The 12,840-nt window shown below is 39.8% G+C and overlaps 1 protein-coding gene across 3 annotated transcripts in view; it reads left to right on the top strand.

Annotated features, from left to right (window-relative positions):
* Positions 1 to 12,840, top strand: part of MAML3 (mastermind like transcriptional coactivator 3) — a 437,432-nt gene that overhangs the window by 143,181 nt on the left and 281,411 nt on the right. The window lies entirely within an intron of this gene.

The raw sequence follows: 12,840 nt of genomic DNA, 5'->3' as shown, positions 1-12,840 counted from the left end.
TGCCTCAGCCTCCCAAGTTAACCAGGATTACAGGCACTTGCCACCATGCCCAGCTACTTTTTGAATAGAGACGGGGTTTCACCATGTTGGCCAGGCTGGTCTTGAACTCCTGACCTCAAGTGATCTGCCTGCCTCGGCCTCCCAAGGTGCTGGGATTACAGGCTTGAGCCACTGCGGCTGGCCTCATGTATATTGTTTAATGGGATCATTATGTCATTCATTTCCCTTAATTCAAGTTAGAAATAGCTTGATATTTTTATCAAATGCACCCCGTTTCAAAATATTTTGGCATTTTTTTTGTTTTCACTGATCTTAAAGGATTTTTCCTAACATGAGCAGACCTTATGAAACTGTTGTAAGTATATGAACATACTCAACAAAATAAGTTCAAGTAGACATCTTAAAAACGTATTACTGGGCAACACTTATTGACTTATTTCTAGTTAGCAATGCACTTAAATAGTATTTCTTTAAATAAAACTTCTTGGTTCTAATTTTTAAATTGTTTAAACTGATCTACCCCGATGAAAAGAAGGAATTAAAAAGCAAATATGACTATACCAACAAATATACATATAGTTACATATTCACTTTCAATGAACGCTGACATTTAAAAAACACCATACGGCACAAACATAAATATGTGTGTGTGTATAGGTGTGCTTAACAGTGGTACAAATTTCCAGTCACCCCAGTCAAAACATCTGATTTAAATTTGTTCCTTCTGCTGAATGCCAGATATGCAGGTTAGGATCAAGTGAAATGAGCCCATTTCAATAAAGTCTAGAACTAACCAGTGCCCTCATATTTGTGGTACACATTAATTTTTTTAAGTGAAGCATAGTAGAGAATCAAGAATGACGTTTTTCTTTGTTCCTTCACTTTATGTTGTAGATTTGATGGTACTCTCATACATGTAAGGGTAAAATTACCTCTTTGCAATGGAAAACAAAATTTTTTGGATGTGGAAGCACCCAATAAAAGCAATGCCTATTTCCACACAGTCTAAGTTGAAAACAATTTCTCTGGATAACCAAAGTTGCTTAATTTTCTATACCATCCAGCCATTTGCTAAACCAGTGGTAAGCCCAGTCCTAGAATGTCTAATTAATGATATTATGAGAAGATACATTCTATCCCAAATGAGTTTAGCTTGAACTGATAAAATTCCTGTGAATCTAAGTACCTTCCCAGATTCTTATGAATCTAGGCAAGCATCTCAGATGTCAGCTCCTTAAGGACAGGGATTTTTGTCTCTTTATTCACTTCTGTATCTTTGACTCCTAGAATAGTTCCTGGTGCACAGCAGGTACTCTTTATGTATTTGTTGAATTAAATCAATGCAATTAAATCTTGTGCCTGGATTGCTCAGAATAGTTTCCTTGACTTAGGGAGAATTTAGTGAAGTGATGTTTAAAATATTATTATAGCATGTTACAGTTGAATGGAAGAACCAACTAATGTAATGATTCTTAAACATTGGTCAGCATGGTTAATGGAGGACAAAAAAAATTATAGGAAAAGATCTCTTGCTAAGAATAAGATTGCCCACAGACAAAGGCTGAGAGAGTGCATTCTCCACTGGACTGTAGTACAGACTAGGGAAAGTGGGTCAGGATCGGGAACATCTGTGAATGGGAGGGCAGCGGGAAAGCTTGTCCTATAGAAAATTAAAAAACAAAAAACAGAGACACTTCCTGTGCAGCACAAGGCCTGTGGGAGCCTGGGGCTTGTTGGTTCGTAAATTTGACCACTCTCTGCCTTCCTGGCAATTCCCATTTAGTAAACCAAAATTCTAGGGACCAAAATGCACATGACTTGTAACAATAGGCACAGGCTGATGTTTTGTCTCAGCATTAGGTGTTGTCAGATTTGAGCATGTGTACAGTAGTGCAGATACATACTATATGTTGGGTATCTATCATGCTATTATATTAAGAACTCAAAGTCACGGAAATTAACTGTAACATTAAATCACAGTTTAAAAGGTATTGGAATTTGGGAAAGATGACCCTTTTAGATATGCAAAGGTTTTAAGATTAAGCCAAATATGCAAATTATAATTTATGAACAATTTTGCGGTCCCTTTTCTGTCAGATTAATTGGTAAAGAGTTTTCGTGGTGGCGAAATAATACACATGGATCCACATCCCTGTAAAGGCTGCCAGGTCAGTGCCTGACAGAAGTGTCTTTTATCGCAAGGAGTCAGTTGCAGATCAGGTTAATGTTTGTGTGTGCGCGTGTATAAAGGTTGTTTACAGATAAAAATTCATCTCTTTTTTTCCATTCTCATAAATTTTATTTGTTTATTGGAGTAAGACACATTGAGATTATCTGGAAGATGAACTATGTATATTCAGCATCTGAAAATCAATATAAAGGCAGGCTTTTAACTTGTGAGAGAAAAAAAAGAGTAAGACCTGTCATTTGCTTTTTCATCTCTTACCAGCTCACAGTTCCACTTCGTAGTTCCTTCAGGGACCAATGTCAAAAGGGAATGATAGGCTGTAAACCGTGTTCCTGATAAACCTACCTTATTTGAAAAAGTGTTTGGTCAGAAAATGCTTGGTCCTTACCATGTGATAGGATTCTAAAAGGTCAGAAACCTGTAAACACCATGCAAAAACACTTTTAAAGATTCTTTTTTTTTTTAATTGAGACTGAGTTTCGCTCTTCTTGCCCAGGCTGGAGTGCAGTGGCGCGATCTGGGCCCACTGCAACCTCCGCCTCCTGGCTACAAGCGATTCTCCTGCCTCAGCTTCCCGAGTAGCTGGGATCACAGGCATGCGCCACCACGCCCAGCTAATTTTTTTGTATTTTTCGTAGAGACGGGGTTTCACCACGTAGGCCAGGCTGGTCTCAAATTCCTGACCTCAGGTGGTCTGCCCACCTTGGCCTCCCAAAGTGCTGGGATTACAGGCGTGAGCCACTGCGCCCAGCCTAAAATCTAACTCTGGGACTAGCCTAGGGTAAATATCACAAATATTAATCCTAGACGTTTGAAATCTCTTTACTCAGCAGTACAAATTGACAACGCTGCCCAACAGTGCCATTTCTTACCGATGAAAAATTCTCTTTGATAGTAGAGCCAAATAAATGACTGTGAGTTACTAGATTAAGGTGACCTACAGGGCCGTGTCCTTAAAATGGCAGGAGGTTTCAGTGCAAGAGCAGAGAAGCAGTTCTGGTGGATGGAAGTCAGTGGCTTCTTCAGGATGGTGTGGGAGAAGGCACAGGGTCAAGAATTGCAGCCTGGTAAGGCTGGTCGCTTTCCCTGCCTCTCTGTTAGCTGTGGAGGAAAGAATGGGATCAGCTTGGCTTTCCCATTTCCAGGCCATCCAATGGCTGGTGGCTTTGGAATATAACCTGATCTTACCCCGACCACCTCCCTTTTGTTCCAAATGGGTGAGAAGGTAAAAGAAACAGATACAGAAACCTTTTTTTGCTGTTTCTCTTTCCTCTTTCTTTCTAGATCTCTGAGGCATTCCCTCCCCACTGCCCTCCCTTTACTGGAATATAATGGAATACAGAAACGTCTCCTTTCGCCTCATCTTCCATTCCCTTATTATTATTTTAGCTACTAGGAATTAGCATTAGGAAGAATCCCAGGAAGGAAAAGCTGTAATAAAGATTATCATTTCCAAGAAGGGACCAGCCCAGTGTTTTGTTTTGTTTTAGATTTTAGGCTCTTTGAGTGCAATTTTCCTCCAGTTGGTGATAAATTTTTAGCCGCTATGAGGTCTTTTCACTTTTTATCACGTATCCTCTTGTTTTCTCTAATCTCTTTTAGATCTTACTTTTCTCTCTACAAAGATTAGTATTCTCTTCAGTGGAAATTTATGAACAAGGCTATTTAAAAAAATGCCGATAAGCTATCCTTGTATGTTTTCTTCATATAAATATTTGCCCCAGCAATATATACGGCAACATCCTATGTTATAGGATATGTGGACTCAGATTCCTTTTCAAAACTATCACCTACCTCTATCCTATTTTACCACCAAAGCTTATTTTACCAAAAAGCTTATGAAGCTTTTTGTTCTTTAAACATAACCAAGTTTATATTCATTTGTATATGGCACCTACCTCAAGGGGTTGACGGGAAGATTAAATGAGTTAATATATCCAAAGTACTTGGATTAGTGCCTGGCAGCGGGTAAGCTCTATGTAAGTCTTTGCTATTATTATTTTTTATTAGCTTTTATTATTTTTATTTGATAGACGACTATAGAATATCAATTTTAATTCATCTCCAGCTATGGTTGGATGCAGTTAGCCCTGCAATTGTTTGAACTTTAGAGGTCAACAGATGTATTTCAGTTGAATGAGAAAATATGCTAACCACCTTTTTTTCTGCTCTGCCCAGGGGTCTTCAAATGTCTCCTAATTCACTTTTTCACTTTTTTTTTTTTTTTTTTGAGACAGAGTTTCGCTCTGTCACCCAGGCTGGCGTGCAGCGGCGCCATCTCGGCTCACTGAAACCTCCATCTCCCAGGTTCCAGTGATTCTCTTGCCTCAGCCTCCAGAGTAACTGGGATTACAGGCACCCGCCACCATGCCTGGCTAATTTTTGTATTTTTAGTAGAGTCGGGGTTTCACCATGTTGGTTAGGCTGGTCTCAAACTCCTAACCTCAAGTGATCCACCCCTCTTGGCCTCCCAAAGTGCTGGGATTACAGGGGTGAGCAACCGCACCCGGCCTGTTTCCTAATTCACTTCTTGTTCACTCTAATACCAACCAGGAGAGGGGAGTGCTATGGACCCCTCCCCCTTCCACTCCCTTTCTTCCTATTGGCCCCCTCGAATTAGGAACAAGACAGAAGCATATGTTTTGGCATCTTATGTGTTCTCATAAAAAAGAGTCATCTTACTCGATAAAGTCCACTTAAATCTGGAAAGCCCTTGCATGGCACACGATATCTCAAGTGGCAGCCTCCAAACAAAAGATGACTATAGAACCCCCGAAATTCAAGGTCAGGAGACTGAATAATGAATGTCTGTTTATCCACCTGGTGCTTTAAAACTGACCTATGTTTCCCATAAGATGTCTTGAGGTTGAATTATGTCACAGCAGTAATGTCTTTAACACTATTGGGTGAGATGATTTGAGAGAGATCAGATTTCATCTGGTGAGTGACAAGGCTTCACTCCCTCTTGCAGTGTATTAAAACAATTAAACATCAGATGCATTTTACTGCAGTCTGTTTGACTCACGTGTGCATATTAGAATATTTTTTTCAAAAACCTATGAAATAGGAGCCTAGCTCCCTGTGAATGTTTATGGCGCTCATTAACAAAGTTCATCTCCAGGATGTATGATTTTCAGTTTTCTCTTTCTAATCTTCTTTTGGGAGGATGGAGGATGGGTAGAAATCAATTTTCCCAGCTAGATCTGCATTTTTCCAGTTAGAAAAGATGTTTCATTTTAATTTGTTGTCTGATGGTATTGAAATATTTTTCCAATCTGTTGTTATTTAAAAGAGCAAGCCCTATTCCTGTCATCATCCATTACCTGGAGCGTTATTTAGTAAGTGCTTTGTTTGTAAACAGATAGTGGTTTTAAACAGATCTAGTCCTGTGGTGATCATGTTTCCAACATTGGAGGACAGCTGCCTGGCAGCAGCACTTTTCTATGTTTAGTTTTTTATTTCAGTTCTTCTGAATTGATTATTTCCTCCTAATGTTTCCAGGTTAAGGAATATTTTATGCATATTATTTGTCAAATTCACATTTCTCTTTCTGCCAAGGAGGATTAGGAATCTCTAGTGAATCAACCTGCTCCAGATAGTTTCTGGGAAAGAGGAGAGGTGAAACAGGAAAAATCCTAGCCCTCTGCATTGTCTTAACCATTTGAACTAACCAGGACAAAGGGTAGCAACACCACTGAGTTAACCCACTGCATTGTTCAAAGCCCGTCCTCCACATTCACCAGCACCCCAGCACACTTAACCAAAATGTTTTCTACCTGTGTTTTTTGAAGTACAGATTTTAGCTACTTTGCTGAACTTTTGTTTTCTTCCTGATTATTTTGTTTCACAAGAATTTCTAAACTCTTAAGGAAACAAAAATCATTCTGTTTGGTTTTTGGTAGTTGAAAATACAGCTATATCTGGGGAATATGATGATAGGGAGGAGTTATTTCTTATGTTAAAAAAAAAACCTAAGGAAAACGGTAGCCCTCCTTTCGGCTAGGAAATGACCATGTGTCTCTCTACTGGGGAGCAGCTGCTGGGAGCCCTGGGCTGGCAGGGAGAGCGGGTCTGGGAAGGGAGCTGCGCCAGGCTCCCTCGCCAGCCCCGTGAGCGCTGCGTTTTTCCTGGAGCCGTCATTGTCTCCCTGCGAGTCTCATGGCGTTCTTTGTCTGCGGTGGGTATCTTGTGTCACACACTCGCAGCCCGTTGCACTAAGCCACTGTTCATCCCATTTTCTTTCTTTCTCTCCTCACTACTCTCCCCTGCCCCCTCCCCAAACCCCTCCCTTTCTTACTGGTTTTGTGATTCAAGGAATTTGAGATCATTTAGGTGAAGTAGACGCTCAGAAGGAGAGGTTTCTTATGAGCTTCAAAGAAGTGAGGAAACAAGATGCGATGCCTTTAAAACTGACAGTGCCCCTGTGTGGATCTGGGAATTACGTTCTTGAAGTAACAGCTTTTAGTTAAAAATACTGGGTGCTAGGGGAGTGGGGGTAAATGGTCCTTCCCTAGCACATTCATAATAAGTAAAGAAACTGTGCCATTGAGTAATACCCCCATCCACCAATATTCTGGGGTGAGAATATTGAGAGAACTGCCAGTGCCTTCTGTGCCATTGTTAATATGAGACAAAGTGTGACAACAAATGCCTTGTGAATTTAAATAGCCAGGTATGGTGTTCAGAAAGGCTTCTGAAATAAACACGCTAATCCACATTCTGTCTCGTGCAAAGTAAAGCATTAAGGGCTTGGTGCAGCCTTACCTTAAAGTGCCTGTGTGCAGTCTCTCTCCTTTTCTTCCCATTGCCTATAGCTTACAATGCTTTCTAAGTGATTCTCTTGCTTGTGCGGAGAGCAGGAATGGGAGGAAGGTTGAGTTGACAGGGCTCTTAAAGCCATTTGTAATTTACACAGAAACTTTCCTTGTGGGAACTTAAAGCACTTCACGTATGGAAATCATATACCTGGGGCAGACTTAATTCAAGGAGCCCAATCCTTGATTGTCACAGACATGGAAACTGAACTTAAGGGATGTTTTGGGATGTTTCCTAGGACACAGAGTTCTAGCTGAGCTAGGACTTGAATCTGGTGCTCTTTCAAGACTCCTTCAGAGGCACATGTTAGTATCTCAGTCCCCTTTGACAGACGTTGCTGGCAAAATGTTATTATCCTCACTTTAAAATGGGGTACACGAAAGCACAGAAAAAGAAAATTGTCTAGTGTTAACCCTTTGTGACAAAGCCAGTGAGATAGGACACTGTATTTCTTGCAGCCCTTCTCAGCTATTCGAGTTGAATCATATTGGCCTCAAGGACATCATCCTTGGCCCCTGACATGCCAGGATTCTCATGTCTGCTTGTCTTTCCTGCACTGTCCCCTAGCCTATTACCCCCCAATACTATTTCGTTCTTTTTCTCCTTATGCCCAAGGAGTGTCTTGTGTTTCTCTTTTACTAGGTACTTTTCTCCCAGTATATCTGGAACTTTGTCCGAGAGCTCCCTCTAGAATTTTCCCTTAGGTAACCCAGACCCAACCATGTTTACAAAGGAGCAATGCTGCTGTCACTTCCAAATGCACCCCAACCCAGTGGTGTAGTAAAAGCAGAACTGGCCTGGGGGCAGGAGGTGAAGTCCTCGTGCCATCAACAGTTCATGATACTGATTAACTCCCATGCCAAGTTCCTTCCAGCTCTAGAACCCTAAATCTTCATAGAAATTTGCAGAGAGGAATTTTGAGAAAGAAGTGGTAAATTGAACCATCCACCAAGTTGAATTGTTTTAAAAGCCTCAGACTTCTGGACATCCAAATTGTTAGTCTGACTTTGGAGCTGGGTGCTTGTCCTTGCCATTACTTTCCTGCCACCGTAGTGGGCATGGTTCCAACAGACCCTGCCAGTGCCTACCTGGGGAACCACTGCTGCTGGTAAAGTAGGTCCCTTGGGAATTCTGCAGTACAAGGGTCACTGTGTAAGTGGACAATGAATTTTAATATGCACAAGTTTCCTTTCTGCCAACTTGGACTGGGTATACCTAGTAAACAAATCAAGCGGTACTTGCCACTATATTGTTTTGGTTTTCTGTGGTGTGAGAATATTGTGACTCTGCTCCAGGGCATATTATCCTTGAGGGCAGCCACATAAATGATACTGTGTTAGGCAGTGGGAGGTTGCTGCGTAATAAGTAGTTAATGATGACAAGTCCTAGATCTTCCGATTATAAGGCTAGTATTTAGAACCTATAGTATGGTGGAATTTAAAGCCATTATTGTCTTCTGAACATTTACAAATGTATCATGAAAATAAATTTGATAGAAAGTTGACCAGTCTTACTGTTTCCCATCGTGACTTATTAAAAATCATATTTGTGTTTTCTGCTTTTGCTTCCACCTCAGACCTCAATGGAAATAACTTTTCAGACTTTACATCTATTCAAAATGTAATTATAAGTTAAACAGGGCAGACATCAGGTAGAGAAAAAAATAAGAAGAATCCAGGCACAGGAAGACAAATGTGCATGATCTCTCTTAAATAGAGAATCTAAAAAAGTTGAACTCCTAGAAGCAGAGAGTAGAATGATGGTTACCAGGAGTTGGGAGTATGGTGGGAGGGGGTGAGAGTTGTTGGTCAAAAGATACAAAATTTTCAATTAGACAAAAGGAATAAGTTCAAGAGATCTATTATACAACGTGGTGACTATAGTTAACAATGTATTGTATACGTGAAAATGGCTAAGAGTAGATTTTAAGTGTTCTCTCCACAAAAAAAAATGATAAGTGTGTGAGGTAATGCATATGTTAATTAGCTCAATTTAGCCATTGCATAGTGTATACATATTTCAAAACATGTTGCACACCATAAACACAATTTTAATTTATGAATTAAAAATTAATTTTAAAATAATACTGTTCATTTGAATTATTTTCATCTTTCCTTTGAAAAAAGCATAGTAGTCTCTGTGTAAACCTGGTTTGTTTTTTTGAAAAGGAAAAAGTAAAAAGCCTCCCAGTATAGACTGGCAGTATTTGTTAGGCCAAGGATATGATTAAATAGAGGTAAACTTTTGTGAAGTACAGATACATTTCATTATCCAAACAAGTTACAGTACCTGGGGATAGACTCACAGTTTTTATAGAATCATCTGGATATACTGGGAAATATTGTTGGGTTAGTTAATACACAAAATAAAACCTTTGGTGGATGCCTGTGTGTATGGACATGCAGACAAGCAGATTATTTCTCTGGCCTTTTGTCCCTTCTGATTTTGAGCTGTTCTTTACATAAGTGGTGACCCAGGACAGGGCCAGCTCGGTGTCTTAAACACAGCTCTGTGCCGACCCCAACAACTTTGACTTTTTCTCACTCTGCGACTTATTAACTCTGAGACCTCTTGGGGGTATGTTTTAAGCACTTGGCTCTTCTTTTACTGGAATTATAATACCTGCTCCCTACCTTCCTTAAATGAATATTGTAACAGTTATCAGGATATATGGGATAACATCTCCCATAAGAAAGCAATTTGGAGCCTTCAAACTGGTTTCATTATAGAGAAGAAGCTCTGCAAATGTGTTTTAACATGGTAAGAACTGAACGTGGCTAAAACTGCAACTGCTCATGGAGAAAACTGGAGTAGTATGTTGCAAATTTAACACACATCTATTCCATTCCAGGCTGAAACAGCAAAATCAATCTATGTTTTGATAGTTTGAGATTTGGTTCTTTGATCATACTTGCTTTGCATTTAAAGCAAAAAAAGGCCAAATCTTTTCTTTTCTTTTTTTTCTTTTTTTTGAGACGGAGTTTTGCTCTTGTTGCCCAGGCTGGAGTGCAATGACATGATCTCAGCTCACCACAACGTCCACCTCCCAGGTTCAAGTGATTCTCCTGCCTCAGCCTTCCCAAGTAGCTGGGATTATAGGCATGTGCCACCAAGCCTGGCTAATTTTCTATTTTTAGTAGAGATGGGGTTTCTCCATGTGGGTCAGGCTGGTCTTGAACTCCTGACCTCAGGTGATCCACCCACCTCGGCCTCCCAAAGTGCTGGGATTACAAGCGTGAGCCACCGCACCCAGCCAAGGCCAAATCTTAAGTCTTTGTTCTTTTTCAATTGAGGGTGTTATTAACACAGCTAGATCATTGAGCCAATCTTTGTCCCGTTCCCCACCGCCATTCTTCTTCTCCTTTAGGAAGAAAATTCTCAAGAAGTGGGCTGGGATAAAGGTTTGGGTAACTGGCCCTATAGTTTGGTTTTGATGTAAGTAGAGGGAGACTGGGCTGTGGTGATTAAAGGTCATTCTGGGCCATTTTTCTGGTTGTTGAACCAATTTGTTACATCATCTCAGGCAAGTACGTTTATGTGCCTTTAAGGAGCTAGTATTGATTTTTAACTTCACCAGCTGTGGTGAGTTTTAGTTGATGATGGCAAAGCTCTTTTTATTCCCAGGTTGAATCATGCCATAGGAAGTGCTGTGTTGTTTTTTTTTTTCTTCAGGGATAGGGGAATAGAGGTTATGGATCTTCTACTGCTTTGCTGGCTCTTTTTATCTCATAATTTTAGTCAGATAGCAATAAAGAGCCATTGAAAGTAATGAACAGTCTTTACTGAGGTAAATGAAGATGACTGTGACAGTTTTAATATATTAATCAAATGGTATTGCTGTTTAACCTTAGCAACATCTCAATCAGATGCTTGCCTGAGATTAACTGAAAAACCCATTGTGACTTTGAAGAGAAAGATCATTCCAAAAAGTAAAATTAGTTATAATTGGATGTTTTGGGGGAGAGACTTTTAAAAAACGGTCATTAATCATATTCTTCATATGACACACTTGGTATACATGTTTGGTGAAACATAGTGGGCAGAAATATCATAGAAATAGGGGGAAAAGCACATTTCTTCCCCAAATGTACCTGGTAATCCACATCTGTGAATCGTGGGTCATTTACTGAGTTCTTAATGTATATCCAGAACTGAGGCCCCAAATGGCTTAACCTAAATCTTTAATTTATCAATTGTGTTTTTATTCCCTTATAAGAAAACAATCCACAGTTTCGAGTTGGTTCTTAAGCACTCAAAAAGACAAATGTTTTATCACACCTACAAATAACTGCATGACATTTGACACTATACAAGTTATATTGGATGGGATGTCAATAATCTAGACTGCCAAGCCTCTCTGTAGTATCCCCAGCATTTAAAAATAAATGTTGGGTGGGACTTCCAGCTATAGCCAAGTAAGGAAGTCAACAAATCTTCTTAAGAAAGCAAATATAAGGCTGGACAAAATGAACAAAAACAATCACTTCAGTGCTTTGGAAATTGAATAAGGCATACGACAATCGGGGAAGCATTTATACTAGAAAAACTGCTGAACTTTTGTTAGAACAGTGGGAATCTGTGGAATTGTTGCCTAGGGTTGCATCCATCCCTAATGCAGTTCAGTTGTCATGGAGATTCTAGGAGTAGAGGACCACAGTCCATAAAGGACAGGCAGGTTGCTGCTGCTGTCAAAGGCCCATTCAATTTGGATGGTGGACAGTGCTCATGACTAGTGGCATTGTCAGTGGCCATAATGATCTTGGTGGCTGTGGGTTGGGTATGGCCAGTGGGCTCTATTTTCCTGAGGTTGCAGTTGTGGTTGGAGTAAGCATATCCCCAGATGAGGCTGCCCACGTATGCAGCAGACAACAAAGAGAGCCCAAGCAATCTACACACTCCTATCTAGTCTTGAGGCTGAGCACATGCATCGAAGAGATGAGGAAGAGTCTAGTGGAAAGCATAGGCTGATATCTACTTGAAAATGGCCTGAACTTAGAGTGTGCACCTCTACCCGCAGATAGATCCATCAGCAGAGAATGGAAGTCTTCCTGGCTCAAGGTGTTTGATCACAATTTGTGTCCAATCATTGGCCAGCCATTAAGCCATGCAGAAACAGGGGTAACAAATAGGAAGCCAGGATTAAAAATGAAAAGAAGAGTTTTTTTTTTAAAGGCTGAGAAGAGACATCAGTGACCTCATACTGCCAGGGAGACAGAATTCACAGAATTAATCCAGGCCAGTTACTAAAGAAATAAACAAAAACAGAAGCAACAACTTTCAGGGGAAAAATACCAGAATCCAGAATTGCTGCATTGTATCATCTTTAATGTCCATTTTCAACAAATATTATGAGCTATGCAAAGAAAGAGGAGAGTGTAACCCATACTTAGGAATAAGAGAAGTCAATAGAATCTGAGTGTCCCCAGATGTTGGACTTTCAGACAAAGACTTCAAAACTGTTACAAATGTGTTCAACATTATGTATAAAACAAGTATAAAAAGACTTTGAAAGGTTGAGGAAAGGCAGACCAGCTTGGGACAAGATCTGGAAGAAACCATGTTTAAAGCATTAAAGGAAAGTATAACAATACTGAATCAATCAAACATGAATCAATAGAGAATCTTAATAAGAAAACAGAAATCTATTTTTAAAAAATTAAAAAGGACCAAATTCTGGAGTTAAAAGTATAAAAATTTAAATTTTAAAAATCATTAGGTGGTCCAACAGCATATTCAACAAGACAGAAGAAACCATCAGCTAATGTGATAGATCAATAGAAATTATCAAATTTGAAGAACAAAGGAGTAAAGGATTGAAAAATTAGCAGAGCCTGAGA

This window comes from Homo sapiens, chromosome 4 (assembly GCF_000001405.40).
Source record: "Homo sapiens chromosome 4, GRCh38.p14 Primary Assembly".
NCBI classification, from domain to species: Eukaryota; Metazoa; Chordata; class Mammalia; order Primates; family Hominidae; genus Homo; species Homo sapiens.
Note: the sequence above shows the minus strand (reverse complement) of the source record. Positions and strands in the feature narration are given on the sequence as shown.